General features: G+C 53.3%; 1 protein-coding gene across 2 annotated transcripts in view, besides 4 other annotated features; it reads left to right on the top strand.

The window, feature by feature from the left end:
* The window catches only part of RIN3 (Ras and Rab interactor 3), a 175,214-nt gene extending 159,528 nt beyond the window's left edge, over positions 1 to 15,686 (top strand). For both annotated transcript variants that reach the window (NM_024832.5, NM_001319987.2), the window contains 3 exons: positions 3,167 to 3,298; positions 11,679 to 11,842; positions 14,618 to 15,686. In NM_024832.5, coding sequence (NP_079108.3) covers positions 3,167 to 3,298; positions 11,679 to 11,842; positions 14,618 to 14,944 — 623 coding nt within the window. In that variant the 3' untranslated portion in view covers positions 14,945 to 15,686. The remainder of the gene's footprint in view (positions 1 to 3,166; positions 3,299 to 11,678; positions 11,843 to 14,617) is intronic.
* Positions 12,973 to 13,600: an enhancer, noted in NCBI's record as "H3K4me1 hESC enhancer chr14:93152626-93153253 (GRCh37/hg19 assembly coordinates)". NCBI's record gives its function as "activates a minimal SCP1, AML or CMV promoter by ChIP-STARR-seq in naive H9 embryonic stem cells {active_cell/tissue: H9 hESC(naive)}" and the evidence as "EXISTENCE:reporter gene assay evidence [ECO:0000049][PMID:30033119]".
* Positions 14,556 to 14,850: a silencer, noted in NCBI's record as "tiled region #13986; HepG2 Repressive non-DNase unmatched - State 23:Low". NCBI's record gives its function as "represses a minimal TATA promoter and a strong SV40 promoter by Sharpr-MPRA in HepG2 cells {active_cell/tissue: HepG2}" and the evidence as "EXISTENCE:reporter gene assay evidence [ECO:0000049][PMID:27701403]".
* Positions 17,143 to 17,202: a silencer, noted in NCBI's record as "silent region_6038". NCBI's record gives its function as "represses an Ori minimal core promoter by ATAC-STARR-seq in GM12878 lymphoblastoid cells {active_cell/tissue: GM12878}" and the evidence as "EXISTENCE:reporter gene assay evidence [ECO:0000049][PMID:35858748]".
* Positions 17,216 to 17,510: a silencer, noted in NCBI's record as "tiled region #11533; HepG2 Repressive DNase matched - State 13:Ctcf, and K562 Repressive non-DNase unmatched - State 13:Ctcf". NCBI's record gives its function as "represses a minimal TATA promoter and a strong SV40 promoter by Sharpr-MPRA in HepG2 and K562 cells {active_cell/tissue: HepG2 | K562}" and the evidence as "EXISTENCE:reporter gene assay evidence [ECO:0000049][PMID:27701403]".

Genomic DNA, 22,409 nt, shown 5'->3' on the forward strand with positions numbered 1-22,409 from the left:
CTTAGCTATTATGACCAATACTGCCATGAACATTTGTGTGCAGGTCTCTGTGTGGAAATATATTGTTGTTTCTCTCAGGTGTATATATAACTAAGAGTGGAACTTTGGGCTCATGTGACAAGATAAGTACTATTTTAATGCAGTATTTTTTAAAAAATAAAAATTAATGCAAAGAAAAGCCATGATGAACAAAATATCCACTTTTTTTTTTTTTTGAGACAGAGTTTCACTTTGTCGCCCAGGCTGGAGTGCAGTGGCACAATCTTGGCTCACTGCAACCTCTGCCTCCCAGGTTCAAGTGATTCTCGTGCCTAAGCCTCCCAAGTAGCTGGGATTACAGGCTTACGCCACCACTCCTGGCTAATTTTTGTATTTTTAGCAGAGATGGGGCTTCCCCACATTGGCCAGGTCGATCTCGAACTCCTGACCTCAGGTGATCCGCATGCGTCGGCCTCCCAGAGTGCTGGGATTACAGACATGAGCCACCGCGCCCGGCCGCCACATCTTCAGTGAAGTCAGGCTGTTGTCTGTTTTATGATCCTGCACTACTGTGCAACAGGAGCAGTCATTTCCAATCAGCCTGCAGTTTCCAGGCCCACATACGTTTGTGACGGCTGACAGTAGAAAGCAAACAGATTGGCAACCAGATTTTAGATACAGTCGTTGTTTCTTGAGTGTAGTGCGTTTGTTAACTTTTTCCACCTGGTTCAAAATATGAGAGGCTATTTTGATAAACACATATGGGGCACGCAGTTTTCCTTTTGCCTCAGGCTTTGCTATGGCTCTGACCACCTGTGCCGTTTCAATTAATCCTCAAACATCCTCGGGCACCTCGTTCTCCAACCTCCCTGCCGAGGTGAGAGGAGGGAAGGAGCTTGCTACGGTCCACAGCTGGTGAGTAGTAGAGCTGGGATTTGAACCCAGGTCTGGGGTTGGAGACTCAGCCTTCACACCGCGCCTCTCAGCAGTGTAGCGTGCAGTTGCCCAGGAGGGTCACTTTAGCTCTCTGAAGTCTTTTATTCAGGCAGGAAGCAGCCTCATTGTTACAAGGACAGATGTGAATGTGCAGAGCTCACTATGAAATTTGACAACCTGGGCAACATGGCGAAACCCCATCTCTACCAAATAATATACACATACAAAAATTAGCTGAGTGTGGTGGTATGTGCCTGTAGTCCCAGCTACTCAGGAGGCTGAGGTGGAAAGATTGCTTGAGCCCAGGAAGTCAAGGTTGCAAGTGAGCTGAGATTAAACCACCATACTCCAGCCTGGGCGACAGAGTGAAACCCTGTCTCAAAGGCCGGGCGCTGTGGCTCACACCTGTAATCCCAGCACTTTAGGAGGCTGAGACGGGCGGATCACTTGAGGTCAGGAGTTCAAGACCAGCCTGGCCAACATGGTGAAACCCCATCTCTACTAAAAATACAAAAATCAGCTGGGTATGGCAGCGCACGCCTGTAATCCCAGCTACTCAGGAGGCTGAGGCAGGAGAATCACTTGAACCCGTGAGGCGGAGGTTGCAGTGAGCCGAGATGGCACCACTGCACTCCAGCCTTGGCAACAAGAGCAAAACTCTGTCTCAAAAAAAAAAAAAAAAGGGAAAAGAAAGTTGCCTCCTCCCTCCCCTGGAAGTGCTTGCCATGAGCTGCACCTGACACAATGGTAGGACCATCATGAGTCAAACATCCATGTGTGTGATAGGAACTTGCCAGGCATGTCTCTCTATGTCCCCAAATGAAGCCACATGTGAAAATTTTCTTTTAGAGCTAAGAGTTAGAAAAATAATTTGATTCCCCCAAGAAATAGGTATATTTTTTCTTCATGGACAGTGAGAATGTAACTGTTTTCCTTTTTGCTTTGGCCAGCAGGAAACTCAAAGCCAAATTTGCTGCTGTAAAAGAGTAGTTGTGTAGGTTCCTGCTTATTTGCATTTTTATGTTTCCTATAGTATCATCCCTCTAGTAATTTATATTGGTACTGATGGTTTTCAAATTTTTATTTAGATGTTACTGTTTTATCAGGTGTATTTCCTGATGGTCCCTAAATCCTTTGTAAACATGTCAAGTAGAAACACACTTTTTGCAAGAGCTATACATTGCTTGGCATGTGCTTGGATGGATTATTAATCTCACCCAAAACACAAAGGTAGCAGCACTGGCATGGGTTATTCTGCGGTCCACATCCAGACCTGGTAACCCCCGGCTGAGTCTGGAGACCTTTGCCTGAGCCTTGGACTCCCTTTGGTTAGAGGAAGTGAGAAGGTGGGCTGGGGACCAGGCGTGGCCATTCCCACCATGCACAGCTGCTCACCGAAGCTTCATTTCTCCAGTGCACTTGCAGAGTCTGGCTAGAAGACCAGCCAAGGGCCTGCAGGAAGATTCTATTCTGGTCAGAATTCTCCACCCACAGTTCCAGCCTTGGGCTTTGCGTTGCCAAATGGGCAATCTTCAGGGCCAGCCAAGAGCCACACTGGGGAGGTATCTTTCGGACCCACCTTCCACCCTCCTTCCTGCCACTGTTCCTTTATAGAGCGCCCTCCATCTGCCACGCAAAGTGTCTGTTGCTGTCAGGATGCTCTGAGCCCTGTGAACATCTCCCTCAAAGGCAGTAGTGATGAGATGATACTTCGAGGGGTCTTTACGTTTTAAAAGAAGGCCTTAGGAAAGGGCACTGTTTACGCCAAAAAAAGGAAGAAGGCTGAATGGTGACATTTCAGGTCTCGTAGTGTCTGGGTGAGGAAGAGGTTTCTGTTTCGCAGGTGGGAGGGAGATGTATGATTCGTGGGGATAGGGAACCTTGCCAGGAGCCATGAATGCTTCTGGGTGGGTCCACGAATAAATATGATGTGAATTTGTCTGTCAAGCAAGCAGCAGGGGGCGGTCATGGAGAGGGAGGACTAGGAAAGGGGAAGGGGTCAGGGTCTTGCTCCACCCAGCCGAGGGCACTTTCTCAGTTCCTTCTTCCTAAACTTGGACTGTTTCTCGGGCCTCCTGAGGAGGCTGCTCCCTGGGTCCTCTCTGTCCTGAGAGTCATGAGAGAGCAGGAACATTCCTCTTCCAGGGATCGCCATCCACACTCAGCAAACCACTGTCCCCTACCCTGGGCAGAGAGCATCTCACAAGGAGAGCCTGGAACTCATCTCCCTCTGCCTCCTTCTTCTTCCCAGGGAAGCCCTATGGGGCGGATGACTTCCTGCCTGTGCTCATGTATGTGCTGGCCCGCAGCAACCTCACGGAGATGCTTCTCAATGTGGAGTACATGATGGAGCTCATGGACCCCGCCCTGCAGCTGGGGGAGGGTGAGTCACCACCCCCTGCCCATCAGGTGCATTGCACACCCCCAACTCAGCCACGCCACGGGCACTCTAGGTGGCCCAACAAGCACCTCCTGGATGCCAGACTCTGGCTGAGCTCTGGACCCATGGATGCAAATGTGAATCCTACACAGGTCCTGTCCTGCAGGAGCTCACAGATTAGGGGGAGAGATGAGCCAGTCAAGAGACTGTGCCACCTCCACGTAACAAGTGCTGGAATAGTTGGAATCCCAGAAGGCATAGGAGCATGTTACCCAGACTGTGCAGTCAGGGAAGGCTTCCTGGAGGAGGTGACATCTGAGCTGAGCAATGAAGGATAAATAGGAGCCAGCTGATTAAAAAAAAAAGGGAAAAGGCAGTCTTTGTAGCGGGAACAGCAGGAGGTAGTAGTATAAAAGAAGGGGCTGAAGTGGCAGGCAGTGCTCACAGTAAGAGTCTGAGAGACAGTGACAATCAGTTCTTAGACAGGGGTGACCCCCAGGGACTCTCGGCCCCTTGCTCATAAGCCCTGGGTCAGGACCTCCATCAGTGGGAAGTTAATGATATGAGTAAGAAGCCCTGTGCTCCCCAATAGGATGAAGGCAGAGGTGTGGTTTGGTCCACCCCATGCTCAGTTTCCCTTCCCCTTTCCTCCTTCCCACCACATCCTCCCACCCACTTAGCCTCAGCCACCCATCCACCAAGAATTTCCTGAGGGGCAGCCAGTCCAGATATCAGCTCTGAGGGAGCCCTGACTTCCCCTCTGAGACATCAGCTTCAAAGGAGGGAACCATCCTCCCAGGCCCTGAGGGTTCCCCTTGGGCTTTGTGGTTCTTGAGATGAGCAGACCCTCTTTGTATCTGTTCGCATTTTTTTTGCATGTTCCAGTCTCTGGGGTGATAGTTTGATGAGATAGTTCCATGAGTTGTTGACAGCTCAGGGGAGCGTGTTAAAGCCATGACGTTTGCTGTCATATATAACTTTGGCTAGTGGCACTGGGACCTCTGTATCTACCTTTTTTTTTTCTCTGTAGTTAAAAATGTCCTGTAATGGGAACAAGTTGTCTTCTAGGAAGTCCAGGAATTCAAGAGAAGCCAAGGTTTCTTCAGCAATGGTTATCTGCTGCCCAGTGTAGCCATATATCCATCCATCTATTCATCTGTCCATCCATATAGCCATCCATCCACCCATTCACCTACCCATCCATCCATGCATCCACTCATCCACCTACCCACCCATCTACCCATCCACCCACCCATCTACCCATCCACCCACCTATCCATCTATCCATCTATACGTCCACCCACCCATCCGTCATCCATCCATGCATCCATCTACTCATCCAACCACCTACCCACCCACGTATTCACCCACCCACCCATCCACATATTCAGCTACCCATCCACATTTCCATCTACCTATCCACCTATCCATCCATCTACCCACCAATCCATCATTCATCCATCCATTAACCCATCCACCCATCCATTCACCCATCCATCTATGCACTCATCCACCCATCCACATATTCACCCAGCCATCCACATAACCATCTACCCATCCATCCATCCACCCACCCATTCACCCATCCATCCATCCATCCACCCACCCATTCACCCACCCATCCATCCATGCATCCACTCATCCACCTAACCACCCACCCATCCATCCGTCCACTCATCTGTCCACCCACCTGCCCATCCACATATTCACCCACACACCCACATATTCATCCACCCATCCACATATCCATCTACCCATCCCCCTACCCATCCACTTATTCACTCACCCACCAATCCACATATTCGCCCACCCTCCACATATTCATTCACCCATCCACATATCCATATACCCACCCACCTACCCATCCACCCACCCACCCACCCACATATTCACCACCCACCCATCCACATATTCGCCCATCCACCCACCCACATATTCACTCATGCACCCATCCACATATTTGCCCACCCTCCACATATTCATCTACCCATCCACATATCCATCTACCCATCCACCCACCTACGCAATCACACACCCATTCATCTACCATCCATCCATCCACCCGTCCACCCATCCACTCATCCACTCGCCCATCTACCCTTCCACTCATCCACCCACCCATTTATCCATGCCAAACACATGGGCTGTGGTGTAGGACAAGACAAGTAAGGCTGATAGCCTTGTGTGAATGAATGAATGCCTCATTCTGCATCCCACATTTTGGGACTTCTACCTCATCAGGACTTTGTGGGCCTTCTTCCTTGGTTTCCCCAAGGAAGGGAAGCTCTCAGCATGCACACAGAAGAACCACAGGCACGGTGGCTGAGCAGGAAAAGGGCAGGGACATCCTTGGGCCAGCAGCCCTCTCCTATGGACTTGCGTCCCCCACCCCAATCCTGCCATGGCCTCCTGGGATCCTTCTTCCTGTTCCCAGAAGCCTAGGGGATTTGGGTGAGAAACAGAGAAGTTCTCGAGGCCAGAGAGCATGTCAATTCTGGGCTACTTCAAGTATTTGGAGGACAAGCCAAAGTACAAAAAAAGTTCATAACGGCGCTAAACAGTTCCTAGATTCTGACCAAGGCTGCCTGCATCCAGCCCTTTTGTCAGACTTGAGTAGGCAGAGCCCCCCAGCCCACCTCTGGCCCCATAGAGAGGGCAGAGGGCACACTGTCCCTCCTGGCAGCCCTGTCTGACCACGGCAGTGTCACACCTTGCCCATGGCAGCTCCAGGGGCCAGAGGACAAACCCACACCACGCTGTGCACACCAGCAAGGGGGGTGGGTGGCACGGGCACATCCCTGCACCTCTCCCTGCCCTACTTCAATAGTCAGGGTGTGGGAGGTCACAGCACCTAGGACAGCCAGCCTTGCAGGTGTTTGCCTCTGGCATCTAGATGACCTTGGGGCTCTCCAGCGAGGGCAGGGGTTTCCACCTTTCAACAGCCTGGACACTTCATCTCAATGGATCTGGGTCCCAGGGCAGAGGGGCAAGGGTGAGGTGGTGTTTCTGAGTTTCTCTGGCTTAGCCCTCCTGGCTTAGTGGGGTGGTGGTGCAGAGGTACCTGATCACCTCAACCTCTGTGGTGCAGGTGGGGAGGGAGACTGAGCCCTGACAGAGCTCAGAGATGCTTAGGGTGGGAGGTGGGGGTTCCCAGAATCCCCAGACTCTTGGGAACTTAAGTTGCTAGAATCTAAGAAAACTAACACAAAGTGGAGTAAAAAGAGCAGTTTGGAGGCTGGATTTGGGGCCCAGTTCTGCCTCTGACTGGCTGGAAACCCTGGGCAAGTCACCTAACCTCTCTGGCTTGCAGAAGTGAAGACATCAAGTTAGATTGGCAGTTTTCAAACTGTCTGGATGCTCTCGTATTCTGCAGTGGTGGCTTGGTGTTAGTTTGTTTGGGATGCTTAATAAAATACCATAAACTGGATAACTTTGGAACCATGGAAATGTATGTCTCTCAGTTCTGGAGGCTGGGAAGTCCAAGATCAAGGCACCAGCAGACTCAGTGTCTGGTGAGAACCCCACTTTCTGGTTCATAGATGGTGGGTTCTTGTTGTATCTTCACATGGCAGAAGGGACAGGACAGCTCTCTGGCACTTTTTTTTTTTTTTTTTGAGACAGAGTCTCTGTCTGTCACCCGGACTGGAGTGCAGTGCTATGATCTTGGCCCACTGCAACCTCCGCCTCCCAGGTTCAAGCAATTCACCTGCCTCAGGCTCCCAAGTAGCTGGGATTACAGGCCTGCGCCATCACACCTGGCTAATTTTTGTATTTTTAGTACAGACAGGGTTCCAACATGTTGGCCAGGCTGGTCTCGAACTCCTGATCTCAAGTGATCTGCCTGCCTCAGCCTCCCAAAGTGCTAGGATTACAGGTGTGAGCCACCATGTCCAGCTGGCACTTCTTCTGTAAGGGCACTAATCCCATTTATGAGGGCTCCACCCTCATGACCTAATGACCTCCCAAAGGCCCCACCTCCTAACACCATCACATTGGAGGTTAGGATTTCAACATAGGATCTGGGGGTAGGGGGACCCGAACATTCAGACCTTAGCACATGGGGCAGGATGAGAGATGGAGCTGGGCCCTGCCTTCCAGTGTTTCGTAGTTCAGGTGAGCAAGCCATTCTGTGTTCGACAGAAAGCCTGCAAGTTGGATTCTGTGCACCTTGGGACCTTCAAATTCTCTCAGCCTGTTCCACGTGCTGCAGTTTAGCAAAGGATGGGCCATGGGGTCTTACTTTCCTTGCAGCAGGCGTGTGGGGCAGGAGACATCAGGGACTTGTGCAAGGAAGGGCCTGAGTGCCAGCTTGCTGGGACCCCCGCCCCCTTTCTAGCCTCTCTCTTGTGTTCCCACTCCCCCCACCCCCTGCCCCTGTGAAGTCATGGGACAGACAGGTGACCCAGGCAGCTGCTGGGCACCTTGCTGGAGCCAGCCCAGAATCTTAACCTCTGCTAAAATCCTGGCTAGGCTGGTCCCAAAAGTGCCCTCTTGGACCCCTTTGCCCATGTCCCTTCCCTAGTCTGCCTGACAGCTGGCCATGCCGGGCTGGTGTCTTTCCAGGGGCAGTGGGTTTTTCCAATCAACGCATTCGCCCCAGAGAGAAAAGCCTGCTCCAGAACTCACGGTAGGGCCGCCTGCCACCTAGTGGCCCTGGCAGGCATTTCATGGCCCCAAGTCAAAGAGGAAGGCTGGCAGAGAGAGAGGCCTCACGAAGAAGTCAGACTCCAGCACCAAGAGTGCAGCAGTAGGGCGTGGCTGCTCCCCTTTCACCTGCGAGGGTGAGACACCCCCAGAGCACCTCCCTGAGGCCTCATAGCCACCATGCGTTATTCACACATTCCGAAGCCCTGTACTTTACACATACTCATTTCCTTTTCACAACTTTATGATGTTTGCAGATAAGGAAACTGAGGCATAGAGAGGCCATTAGCTCACCTGAATTACAGGGCTGGCTGCTATGGAGCAAAGACCTAGATCCTGTTCTCTGACTCCAAAACTGAAGGTTTGCAGTCAGCACACTGCACTCACCTCTTCCATTCCCAGCCAGGAAGACATAAGCCAGACAGGAAACAGGACGACTGAGGGATGCCAGGTAGAGGACGTGGACTTGGGGCAGCAAGGGCTGGGGGCACCAGAGCCGACTTCCTGGCCTGGGGCTTTAAACCTAACTTAAAATGGAGATACGTAAGTGGTTTAGTGGTTCTTCTCTTATTAGGGACACCAAGGCAACCTCTGTGGTAGCTTTAATTTAGTTTTTTCAAAAAATGTCTCTTATTTATTTTTATTTTTTTTTAATTTGAGATGAAGTCTCACTCTGTCACCCAGGCTGCAGTGCAGTGGCCTGATCTCAGCTCACTGCAACCTCTGCCTCTCAGGTTCAAGCGATTCTCCTGTCTCAGCCTCCAGAGTAGCTGGGATTACAGGCACGTGCCACCATGCCCAGCTAATGTTTGTATTTTTGGTAGAGACAGGATTTCGTCATGTTGGCCAGGCTGGTCTTGAACTCCTGACCTCAAGTGATCCACCCGTCTCAGCCTCCCAAAGTGCTGAGATTACAGGCGTGAGCCACCACACCCAGCCATCTCTTTTCTATACTGCTATGAAAGGGTGGGTGATCCTGTGGCCATAAACCCTTTTATCTTACCCACCCCCGCCTCACCACCTACTGGACCAGGGTGTGAACTTGTCCCATATTGGTTGTAGAACTGGTGGAGATGTGTGGGCCAGCTTCACCCAATGTAACAGCTAGGAATGCTTTGGGCTGCACGTAACTCACAAAAGTAACTAATAGTGGTTTAAGTCAGAGCAAGGAATTGGTTTGTCTCTTGCATCAAGAAGTCCAGGCGAAGCACCTAGTAAGGATGGCATTTTGCATCCAGGGAACTATGGGCCCAGCTCTTTCCATCTTTTCTTAGCATGTGGGGCCTTTGGCTTTGTGTCTGTCACCTGTGATCAGAAGACAGCTGCAGTGCCCCCAGTAATGCGTCTGGGTTCCAGGCAGAAGGAAGGGTGACAGGCAGAAACCCAAAGGGATACATCCACTGAGTCTGTCTCTTTCAAAGGCTTTCCTGGAAGCCCCACCCAGCCTTCCACTTATATCTAAGGGGCCACAGCAGAGTCTCCTGCCTCTACCCAAGCTGCAAGGGAGTCAGGGAAGTGAGCATTTCAGTTGATGTTACTTCCCCAAATAAAAGCACAGTTCAATTAGGTAGAAGGGGCAGACGCGATTTGAGTGGGGCACTAGCAGAATCTGCCTCATGTCAAAAATCATCATCCTGGCCAGGCATGGTGGCTCACACCCGTAATCCCAGCTCTTTGGGAGGCCAAGGCGGGTGGATCACTTGAGCTCAGGAGTTCGAGACCAGCCTGGCCAACATGGTGAAACCGCGTTTCTACTAAAAATACAAAAAGTTAGCCAGGCGTGGTGGTGCGTGCCTATAATCCCAGCTACTCAGGAGGCTGAGGCAGGAGAATAGCTTGAACCTGGGAGGCGGAGGTTGCAATGTGCCTAGATCACGCCATTGCACTGCAGCCTGGGCAACAAGAGCGAAACTCCATCTAAAAAAAAAAAGAAGAAAAAAATCGTCATCCTGGCACTGGAAGGGCTGGGCAGAAAGGCCTTTGCAGTGGTGGGAAAGCCCAAGGAAGCACCATGGAGGTGGGCGGCGCTGGGGACCCGAGAGACCAGGGTTTCCAGGGTCTCCTTGCCCTCCTCTGGGCCCTTGATCTCTCTATGACCTTGGCCAAGCCACCTTCCCTCTCTGGGACTCGGTTTTCTCTCTCTAAAATGAGGAGCTTACCAAAGTTAGTATTTCTCAAACCTTTTAACCAAAGTCCCAAACAAGCTCAGGAGAATGAATTTGTAAGCATCGTGTAAAATATTGCCTTTTATCTTAAAAGTTCATGAAAATTTTGCAGTCTGAAGTATCTCAAAGCTTAAATTACTTTAGGAAACATTGTGTATTAAGAATATGTGTGAGGCCAAGGCAGGAGGATCACCTGAGGCCAGAAGTTCAAACCAACATGGGCAACATAGCTAGACCCCTTCTCTATAGAAAATGTAAAAATCAGCCTACAATCGCTTGAGCCCAGGAGTTGGAGGCTCCAGTGAGCTATGTGTGAATTAACTTAAGAAATGGATACATAAATGATTCAAATTTTATACTTATTTAAAATCTTTAAAAATTGCATGTAATAGTATAACCATAATTAAAATTTCCTCTCTTCTTAAAAATTATTTTTAGAATAGATAATGCATTCACATGGCTCAAAATTCTAAAGCATATCAAAGTTCCTTAATTTATGAGGGTGTGTCCTAATAAACCCATCATAAATTGAAAATATCTTAAGTTGAAATGCATTTAATCCACCTAACCTACTGAACATCATAGCCTAGTCTACCTTAAATGTTCTCAGAACACTTACATTAGCCTACAGTTGGGCAAAGGCATCAAAAAGCCTATTGTGTGTGTGTCAAAAATCAATCACACAGTCCAGCCATGGTGGTTCATGTCAGTAATCCCAGCACTTTGGGAGGCTGAGGCGGGCGGATCACCTGAGGTCAGGCATTCAAGACCAGCATGGCCAGCATGGCGACACCCCATCTCTACTGAAAATACAAAAATTAGCCAGGCGTGGTGGCATGCGCCTCTAATCCCAGCTACTCAGGAGGCTGAGGTAGGAGAATCGCTTGAACGTGGGAGGTGCAGGTTGCAGTGAGCCGAGATCACGCCACTGCACTCCAGCCTGGGCAACACAGCAACAGAGCCAGACTTAGACAAAAAAAAAAAAAAAAACCTCACACAAAGCATGTTTTATAATAAAGTGTTGAATATCTCATGTAATGTATCGAATACTTTACTGAAAGTAAAAAACAGGTTGGTTATATGGGTCCTGGAAGCATGGTTTCTACTGAATGTGTATCACTTTCACACCATCATGAAGTCAAAAAATCATAAATGGAACCATAGTAACTCAGAGACCGTGTATATGTGATACACACACAGTGAGAAGTCTCCTGCCCACCCTGTCTCCTGGCCACCCCTTTCCCCACACTGAGGTTTCTGTTTCTTGTGTATCCTTTAAATTTTTTATTGTTTTAAAAATCATTTTTTAAATAAGCAAGAGTTTCGTCCCCAAGGGGAGCCAGTGAAAAGTTTTGAGCAGGGCCCAGACAGCTCAGGGCTGGACTCTAGGAAACTTTCTGAGGCTGGAGGGTGGGCGTGGGGTTGAGCTCAGCTGTTGAAGCAGGTGTTTGCAGATGTGCCTCAAGCAGAGGTGGTGGGCGGGGCTTGGAGGAGGTGGGTGGGGCAGGCCAAGCTCCTTGCCTCTGGTGGGCGGAGGCGGTCCTGGCTCAGATTCCACACCCTTGTCCACGCAGGTTCCTACTATCTGACCACCACCTACGGGGCCCTGGAGCACATCAAGAGCTACGACAAGATCACGGTGACCCGGCAGCTGAGTGTGGAGGTGCAGGACTCCATCCACCGCTGGGAGCGCCGGCGTACTCTCAACAAGGCCCGGGCCTCCCGCTCCTCCGTACAGGTGAGGCCTGAGAGCGGGAGGGGCCCGGTGGGGCCATGTCCCAGACACCATCCCTGCTGCCTGCTGGCTAAGGAGCCGTGACATCACCTGGCTGCTCCAGCCGCCCAGCCCTGCCTTAGGGGAGCAGTGAGACTCCCCACACCAGAGGAAGGGCCCCCAGCCCCTGCTGCCAGTGTGTGTCCAGGACTTGGGTGCGTCTAGAAACATATCAGCAGGCATTGGTGTTCTCCCTGGGCAAGCAGGAAGGGTGCAGGAGGAATGAGACACACCCATCATTCCTTAGCCCCTCCTAGGACCCAGCACCCTGCAGGGGCTGGAGATGGGGACTTGTCATCCCAGTCCCTGCTTTAAGGAGCCCACAGGCTCATCTACAGCCTTGCTCCTTAGTCCCTGGACAAATGCAGCAGCTGCCAAGGGTCTGCGTAACCCCCACCAACCCAGTGGCCCACCCCTCCCCATACCTCTCTCTATACAGACTCAGTATTCAAACCAGTCCCGCCCCTCCCCAACTCCATCACCCCACCCACCCCCAGGCTGCATCAAATCCAGCTGCCCCCAGTTCCCCAAACATGCCCAGCCCAGTTCACTGGCTGCTCAACCGCTGCCCTCACTGGTCAATCTCCCCTTCTTCACTGGCTGTCACTGCCCATCCTTTAAGACGACTCAGTTTCTCCAACAGCCCCTCCTCTGAGAAGCCTTCCCTGATACACACACACACCGTTTCACACAGGCTGGGTGGGGTGCCCTCCTCTGGGCTTCCTGCGGCCTCCCCTTTTACAGTGCATATCACATCCTATCATCCTCTGCATATGAAGCTGTCACCTCTGGGAGGGCACAGCCCATGGTTCACATGCCTCAGGGGCGCCAAGCCCAGGGCCTGGGACAGAGCAGGACTGGGTGTGTAAAAAAGGGTGAGAGTTGGACTAGTGAGCCAGGCACATCCAGAGCTGTGAGCAGCTATGCAGACTCACTCCTCTGACACCCAGAGCAGACCAGTCCTGAGCCACACTCCTGGCTTTCAAGATGGTGCATCTATAATAAGCAGAGCCCAGGCCTGGGAGACAGGAGGCTTGAGTTCTGGCCCCAGCCCTGTACTAGCTTGCTGTGTGACCCTCAGCAATCCCTGCCCCACTCTGGGACTCAGTTTTCCTGCCCACACAGGCTGACTATGGCTAATCAATTTAATAACTGACTCTCTGGGGAGAAAACAAAAGCTCTGATTTTAGCTTCTGTCCATTTCCATGGTGTGAGTCCTCCATGGCCAACTTCAACTTGGCATCACTGAATGTGGAGTTGGAAAGAAGTGTATGCAGTCGGCTCTCCCTGGCGGGTGTGAGCCAGCTCCAGCACACCTCTGTTCCCATCCCCTCCCAACACCCCGGACTCCCACAGACTGTAGGGACATGGACACTCTTGGTCCAAGCCTGGCCCAGGCATCCCGTACTTCCTGCTTCTACCTTAGGGGTTCCTGATGCTGAGCCAGGCAGAGTATGGATGAAACGGACCACCCACTGTTTGGGAGACGGAAGCTTCGGAGGGGGGTCCCCTCAGCACCACATCTGGGATCTGGGGAGGGCACCACCCTCTGCCCCCTCCCAGTGCCTCCTCCGCACACCATGCCTTGGGGGGTGGGCACCCTTCCCTGGGGAGGGGAAGCCCAGAGCTGGACAGTCACTAGCAGGTGGATAGTGCCCTGGGAGGCCTAATGGAGGACAAGGAGCCCTGAGGCAGCCACTAAGACGGAGGGAGTGGGCCGGGCTTTTCCCCTCCTGGAAGAAATGGGCGGTCCCCGTGAAGCTCTTGACAGGAGCCCGGCCTCGCCTAAGCCCTAGCCACCAGTTGCCATCACGGTCTCCGCCGAGCCGGGATCCTCAGCCGCTTCCCGCGCAGGCCTGCTGTTCCCAATCCGGCCACAAGGGGGCAGCCCCGCGCGCAGCCTCTCTGCCTGCAGCCCTGAGCCCCGGGGAAGGCGAGGCCGCTCCGGGCCGGAGCTTCCAGCGCCTGCTCGCCCATTTATGGGAGGCGGGCGCTATCCCCACTTTACAGCCGGGGCTCGACGAATCAAGGCCACACAGGCAGTGGGAGCAAAGGCAAAGCCCGGCAGGTGTGGGGCTGGGTCCCTAGGGGTGGAGGACGGCGGGCGGGCGCCCTGCTCGTGCTGCGAGTGCCCAGCCCCAGCCCGCAGGCGTCGCCTCGCCTTGCCCGCCCTGCTCATGCCGGGCCTTCCCCACCCGACTGCGCCCAGCCTCCTTCACCCGGTCCCCTCCCGCTTTACCAATCCCTGCCCCACGCAGCTCCTCAGAGCCCCAGGGCTCTTGCAGCCCTAAGGGGCTGGACTGTGTTGCCCGCCCGCACTATGGGATGCCCGGGCGGGCTCGCACCTCCCTTCTTATCTGTGCTGCCCTCCGTGCCCAGCATTGCGCCTGGGGTGCAGGGAACTCACCTGGAGGGAGGGAGGGAGGGAATGAATGAATGAATGAATGATGGGGAGCCTGTGGACCAGCAGCCAGGGGACGCGCCGGCTCCTCTTTGCAGGGACTCCGAGACGCGCCTTAATTCATCTCCCAGAACTGTCGGCCCAGCTGGGAAGCCAGGCAGGGAGGGGGACGGGCCCCCCGCAGGCTCGCGGCAGAGACGGGAAAGGCGCAGGTGCCGGACTCGCAGACAGCTTGGCGCCCGCCACCCGCTATCCATCCAGGGAGGGGCCTGGGCCGGGAGAGGGCGCCTGAGGAGACAGGGCCCCGCCGTGACCACAGGCCCCTCGCGTCTCCGCAGGACTTCATCTGCGTGTCGTACCTGGAGCCCGAGCAGCAGGCGCGGACGCTGGCGTCGCGGGCGGACACCCAGGCCCAGGCGCTGTGCGCGCAGTGCGCGGAGAAGTTCGCGGTGGAGCGGCCGCAGGCGCACCGGCTGTTCGTGCTGGTGGACGGGCGCTGCTTCCAGCTGGCGGACGACGCGCTGCCGCACTGCATCAAGGGCTACCTGCTGCGCAGCGAGCCCAAGCGCGACTTCCACTTTGTCTACCGGCCCCTGGACGGTGGTGGCGGCGGCGGCGGCGGGAGCCCGCCCTGCCTGGTGGTGCGGGAGCCCAACTTCCTGTGAGGCCCTCCCGGGGCGCCTCCCCTCACCCCCAGGCGCACGTCTGGCCCCGCCTCTGGCTGCGCACTCCCGACCGCGACGTCCACGCAGCAGAGGGACATGGGCCATTCCATGACGTGCCCAGGCCAACGTCGCAGGACAGTTGTGAAAATAACATGACGCTCGTCCAAGGCCACTTCCTGAGGGCAAGTCCTAATAGCCCTGAGACACCGAGACGGCATGTTCTTCATTAGACGGAAAGGGAAACTGAGGCTCAGGAGAGAGGCGCTCCAGGCCGCTGCAGCCAACAAACCGGCGCCCTCTTCACACGTAGCTCCTCAGGCCATTCCCCATGAGTCCCCCACACCCACCCCATCCTCGGTCTTTGCAAAGAAGGGCCCGAGCTTAGTTTCCCCAGGACTGGCCTAGGAAGGAGCACCGGCCACAGCTGCTCCCCGTGCCACTCAGGGTGGACCCAGCATCTCAGGAGCACCTCAGGGTGTCGGTTAAGAGACAGGCCTCCACCCCTGCACCAGAGCCTGCTCTTAGCTCCCGGTGCCCCCAGACCCCGCAGCTCTGTGCCCGGCAAGAAGCAGCTAGACACACGCCAGGGCGCCAAGCACGGCCAGCTCCGCGGACCCATGGACAAGCCCAGCCCCGCCTCAGGGAAAACAGGGCCTTTCCCTACAGGACACGCCCCAGAGCTGTGGCAGATTGCAGGAGCCATCGTGTGGGGAGAATTTAATAAAAGCCCTTTTGAAAATGACATCTTTTCTGAAGGGGCTGGAGCTCTGCACAGCCAGCCCCGCATTCACAGCCTCACCTCCTTCCCGGGTGGCTTCAGAAGACCCCCTCTTTGCCATGGGGATCCTGTCCTCTGCCAGAACCTGTGGCATACTCTCAGCCACCCTCAGCACCCTCAGCCCTTGGGACCCTGGCCCCTGTCGGCCCGTCAGCCTCCCACCATCCTTGGCTCCCGTCATCCCCAGCTTAGGATCAGAACCATCTGTCACCTCTCCCAGGGATACCATTGCCTGTAGTATTTGCCTGGTCAACTCCTATCCAACCTCCTCCAGGAAGCTTTTTTTTTTTTTTTTTTTTTTTTTTTTAAGACGGGGTCTCATCTTGTTCTGCTGCCCTGGAGGGAGTACAGTTGTGTGATCAGGGCTCACTGCAGCCTCCATCTCCTGGGCTCAGGAAGTCCTCCCACCTCAGCCCCCCAAGTAGCTGGGACTACAGGCTGGTGCCACCACACCTGGCTAATTTTTGGTATTTTCTGTAGAGATGGGGTTTCACCATGTTGCCCAGGCTGGTAGGAAGCCTTTCCTAATTCCCCAGGTTGGGCCAGACAGTCCTCCCATGGTCTGTCTGGCCCAACCATGCTCCCACAGCCCCCTGGACTTGTCTGTCTCACAAGAGAGAGACCATCAAATTGTAACTATCTACCGATGCCTCTGCTTTCCTTTTTTTTTTTTTTTTTTTTTTTTTTTTTTTTTTTTTTGAGACAGAGTCTTGCTCTATCACCCAGGCTGGAGTGCAGTGGCTCAATCTCAGCTCACTGTGCAACCTCTGCCTCCCGGGTTCAAGCAATTCTCCTGCCTCTGCTTCTCGAGTAGCTGGGATTACAGGCGCCCGCCACCACGCCTGGCTAATTTTTGTATTTTCAGTAGAGACGGGGTTTTGCCATATTGGCCAGGCTGGTCTCAAACTCCTGACCTCAAGTAATCCAGCTGCCTTGGCCTCCCAAAGTGCTGGGATTACAGGTGTGAGCCACTGCACCCAGCTGAGGCCTCTGTTTTCTCCACCAGAGTTGCACCATTTGTGTCTGTGTCCTCAGCATTGATTGGAAGTAGGTACTCATGAGTGCTTCCCACAGGTCAGCGCTTTGCGAGGCCCTGAGAACCAGCGCAGAGCTCATGTGGAGCACCAGCATGAGTGGCCCTGAGCTGGGCATCCAGGTAATGGCAGCTGGAATGGGCTGAGTTAAATTCCTGGGCACCAACCAGCTCACTCAGCCAGTCAACAAACACCTGTTAGACTCTGGACCTGGGCCAGCACGATGGGAGCTGCAAGGTGTGGTGCCAGATGCATCCTGGTCCTGGAGGTTGGCGTCACCAATGTTGAATAAAAGGCAAATACCCAGATGGTGAGGACACCCAGCCATGATCCCAGATTGCCCCCCACCACCCTCACCCCAATCCCTGCCAATGCAGACAGCACTCTTCCTCTGCTTCCAAGCTCCCGTCGGTCCTGGGCTGGCCTGGGCAACACAGCCTCATTCCCCAGCTCTCAGGCCAGCAGCACCCTGCCACCTGCTGGGCCTATGCAGTCTCACAGGTGCTGGCAGATGTCCATACATTCTTCAAAACCCATCTTCAGGCTCATAAGCCTGGTGGGAAAGGTTAGGGGATTTTGTTTCCCCAACCACCCTGTGGGCCAGGTATGGCCCAGGCTTGGGGTGGAGCTGGGGTTCAGAGGGTAAATGAGGCACCTGCCCTGCTCTGGGTTCTGATGCCTGCTTCCCAGGAAGGGGACAGAGCTTGCCAGTGGGCCGGACTGAGGGAGCCGCTGTAAGAACGTTTATATGTGTGCATGCATGTGTGAATGTGTGTTTGCGCGTGTGTGCCAGGCCCTCCATCCTGAGGCCAATGCTGGAATTCACCTGTCAGGAGAGGCCGGCGAGCCCTCGTGAGCCCCCAGAGAGCAGGAGAGGGGTTATCTGGAGCACTTGTCATCTGGATGCCTCTGCCCCCAGGGAGCTGCGACTGGGAAAATTGGGGGGCCTGACCCAAGGCCAGGAGACAACATAATGTGAGCTTCAGGAGTACCTGGCCCTGGTTAGCGATTACTCTGCATCATTTTATTTAATCCACAAAACAGCCTCTTGGAGGGAGGTATTTATGGATGAAGTCATAAAGGCCCAAAGAAAGATGTATTGGTCTGTTAGGGCTGCCATAGCAAAGTGCCACAGAATGGGGAGCTTAACAGACACTCATTTTCTCACAGTTCTGAAGGCTGGAATTTCAAGACCAAGGTGTCGCAGGGTTGGTTTTTCCGGAGACCTCTCTCCTGGGCTGGCAGAGGCCACCTTCTCTCAGGGCCCTCACTCAGCCTCCTCCCTGTTCACACATCCCTGGTGTCTCTTCTTATAAGGACATCAGTTGTATTGGATTAGGGCCCACCCGAATGGCCTTATTTAACTTTATTTATTTATTTTTATTTTATTTTATTTTAAGACAGAGTCTCGCTCTGTTGCCAGGCTGGAGTGCAGTGGCACGATCTCGGCTCACTGTAACCTTTGCCTCCCGGGTTCAAGCTATTCTCCTGCCTCAGCCTCCCGAGTAGCTGGGATTATAGGTGCCCACCACCATGCCCAGCTAATTTTTGTGTTTTTAGTAGAGACAGAGTTTCACCATGTTGGCCAGGCTGGTCTCGGACTCCTGACCTCAAGTGATCCATTGCCTCGGCCTCCCAAAGTGCTGGGATTATGGGCATGAGCCACCGCGCCCAGCCTAACTTTAATCATCTCTTCAAAAGCTCTATCTCCAAACGCAGTCATCTTCCCATTTTCTCAGTCACAGCTCCCTGGGGGCAGAGGCATCCAGATGAAAAGTGCTCCAGGTAACCCCTCTCTTGCTCTCTGGGGGCTCACGAGGGCTCCCTGGCCTCTCCTGGCAGGTGGACCCCAGCATTAGCCTCAGGGCAGAGGGCCTGGCACACACACACACACACACACACACACACACACACGTACGCGCACACACACATGCACGCCCTGGGGTGCTGGGGGTTAGGGCTGCGACATACACATTTTTGGAGGGACACTATTTAGTCCATAGCAGGGGGGACTTGTCCTACCCATTTCATGCGAACAAAATGAGTCTGACCCTAAACCTGCGGCTCTCTAGCCTGCCCCCATGCCGCATCCCAAGTGATATATCTGTAGAAAGCCAAAGTCGGACAAGCCTTGGCTGTCAAATCCCAGTTCTTGGGGACCCTGCCTGAGGCAGTGGCCATTGTGACCTGACTGATGGGCCCAGGATGCAACTAATGAGCCCGGGCATCCCCACAGCCCCAAACAAGTGCTGAGGAGTCCACAGCTGGGCGTGTGTGTGTCCAAGGGTGACCTGGCCACAGGCCATCATGCATGGCGGGGTCTGTCTGTGGCTCCTCCCTGGCATTTGTCCCTCTCCCCATGGCCGGCTGGCTCCCTCCTTCCTGCACTTTTAGAGTGCACAGCCTCTGGGTGAGACTGGGCCAGCGGTGCTGGGAGAAGCCACCCAGGGTTTTCAGAGAGAGACCAGGCGTGCCTGGCCCTGTGCCTCCCCATCCCCTTGGCCCTCCCAGGTGGCTGGGCACAATGTCCTGCCTGCCATGAAATGTCCCAAACTGACACTGAAGAGGCCTGGCCTGGGATGGCCCCACAATCCTTTAATGGGGTGTATTGCCTTCGCCCCAGGAATGAGCAAGTTTCTTCTGTCAGGGTCAGACCCACAGGTGAGGTGGGTAGAGAGGAACAGAGACCCAGGGGCAGGGGGCAGCCAGAGAAGCAGTGGGGGGGGTCCCCTGGGTGCTGCATAGACACCCCTTCCCCCACCCCACATACACTCACAGATGAGCCTGCCCTCCCCACTCATCAGGGCAAAGCTGGGCACACATTTGCGAGTCTGGTTGCCAGGTACCCGCTCAGCTGGCTGGGATCCAGGGCTCAGAGGGCTCATTGGTGGAGGAGAGGAAGCAGCTGTGGCTGGCAGCAGGCCTTACCTTCACAGGAAGGTCACATGGAGAAGGGCTTTGGAGAGAAAAGTGCCACCTCCCAGTGGTAGCTTTTCTCCTCCCCAGTTTGCTGGGAAATGCTGGCTTCCAGGAAAGCTGTACCAGAACCTCCTCTTTGCAGCCCACACAGCCCTAAGCCAGCAGGAAACTGAAATGTTTGTCTTCAGGGTCAGAAAACCTACTCAGCAGTACAGTGGGAAGAACTGAACTAGAGCCAGAAGACCTGGGCTCCAGCCCAGCTGCAAACCCTGTGCACGTCCTTAATAGCTTCATGCCTCTGTTTCCCCATTCTTAAAATGAGAATGCATATTCTATCCTAACCTTCCAGGTTTGTTGCAGGGATCCTCCAAGTTCCTGGGTGGGGGCAGGTACGGGAAGTCTCGGATCTTCTTGAAAAGGTAAATCAATTCAAGGCTAGCCCATATGGGCACAGAGGGTGTTCACTGCCAAAGTTGCATGGCTGAGGGGACAAGTGGAGCTGAAATTCAGTCTATGTGCCACTTGTCAGAGCCTACACCCTGTCTTGGGCCCACGTCCACTCAGAGGAAGGGACATCTTTTCCAAATCTGTAGGAAGGAATTTTTATGGTCTAGAGTGAGAACAAGACTCAAACCTGGGGGTTGCTGAGCCGTGGGGCTACTTCCAGTTCAATGTGACCAGCAGAAGGCACAGTACTTTACAGGTCCTGCAGAATGGAGGGCGTGTAACCAGCCTGGAGCAAGGAAAGAGGGCGTCCTGCAGACAGGGGTGCCTGCGCTAGGTTTTGAAGGATAACAGGTTGGCCAGAGCAGACAGGAACAGAAGAACCCCTTCTAGACTATTTGAAGACAATTCTCCATGGGTCGCTTGCATTTCTGCATGTATAGTGAAAAGTCTTTGACAGCTTTTATTCCAGACTGTCTTTTTAAGAGTACTTGAGTATCTCAGATGATCCAGATAGTTTCTCCCTCCTGGAAAGAGAGCAGATTTTTCCTCCTGACCAGGATAATAAAATCATACCTCTCACTTTGGAGAATAGTGTCTCCCTCCAGGGCAAAACGCGGGCAGGAGTGCTAGCAGCCTTCTCTAAACGATTGTTTCCCAAGCTTGAGATTTCTGAGCCGTGACGGGTGCTCAGCATCCACCCGGGTCCACCTCTGTGTAACATTCAGCGGACCTGACAGGTAGGAGTCATCAAAGCAAACATGAGGCTCATGCACCCTGCTGCGCCGTGAGTCATAGAGTCCTTTGCCTTTGACACTGGAGTCTCATATCTGCCAGCACCTATGAGACTGCACAGGCTGCCTTGCTAGCCTGCAAGTGGGTAAAACCCCAGACTCCTGACAGTTCTTGACAATGAAGAAGGAAGACAGTGAAAAATCATGGAAAAATTAATAAGACTATGCAGTATGCAGGGGAACCAGCCGCTTCAAGATGGCTTAAACATAAAGCCTGAGACGAGAAGTGGGAGATGGGCCTGAGTGAGCAGGCTGGACCGGGCCCTGAATGGTCTTGATTGGCAGCAGACGGAGTCTGGAAATCCTCCACCCGCATGGAACCGGATTGGAGGGGCGGGTTGAGGCAGGAGAGGCTCTGCTGAATCCTGCCCTGGCACTCTGGCCAGGAGGGGAGGTCTGAACAGGGAAAGGGGTGTGGGATGGGAGGCAGAGTTAAGTTTGGGAAATGCTGAACATGGAAAATCAGCAGAATGTGGTGGCCGACTGGAATGTGTGAAAGGAGAGAAAGGATCCTAGAGAAAACTTCCAGATTTCTGGCTTGGATGCTGTGATGAGGGGCGGTGCTATCAGCTCAGCGAGCGGGGAACGCAGGCTGGAGGGCAAACAAAATGCATCAGCTTTGGGTGTGTGGAGTGTGAGGGGCACGCAGGACACCACCATGTGGGGTCAACAGGGGCCTCTGTCCCTGTTAAGGGTCAAATATTCTGCAGAGGGGAGGGCGCTCCTGCCTCCAGGAAGTCCTTTCCTGTCTCATAGCAAGCACCCGGGCCCCACTTCCAGTCCTCCTAGCTGGCCTGGTGACTGTCTCCCATGAAAGGCTGCAGCCACCGCAGCTGACTTCATGACTTGTCCTGGGTGAAATGCAGTGACCAGTTCTCCTGGGGACAATGAAAACATACTACAAAGATGCCCCTAAACAGCTAAAAAAAAATGCAATCTGCTATGTCCAAAAGAGCTAAGAAACATGAAAAAAATTGATACAAGATGTGTGGTGCAGTGGTGCGTGTCTGTAATCCTAGCTACTTGGGAGTCTGAGGCAGGAGGATCGCCTGAGCCCAGTTCAAGACCAGCCTGGGCCACATAACAAGACCCTATCTCAATAACTAATAAATAAATAACGTTAAAGACATGAACAAATAACCTAAATTGGAATTAGGAAAACTTAGAACTTAGATAATAGAACTGAGGAAAAAATTAGAAAGAAAAGAATCATTTCAGAAATAAAAACTGAGAAGGAACACAATATTATAAAAACACAACTAAAAACGCATTATTTGGAAAAGATGATTTTTTTTCTTAGTTTCTTATTTTTGTTTATTTATATTTTTAGAGACAGGATCTTGCTCTGTTGCCCACTGCAGCCTCCAACTCCTGGGCTCAAGTGATCTTCCTGCCTTAGCCTCCCAAGTAGCTCAGACTACAGGTGTGCACCACCATGCCAAGCGAATTCCTTTCTTTGCTTCCTTCCTTCCTTCCTTCTTTCCTTTCTTTCTTCT

This window comes from Homo sapiens, chromosome 14, assembly GCF_000001405.40.
Source record: "Homo sapiens chromosome 14, GRCh38.p14 Primary Assembly".
Lineage (NCBI taxonomy): Eukaryota > Metazoa > Chordata > Mammalia > Primates > Hominidae > Homo > Homo sapiens.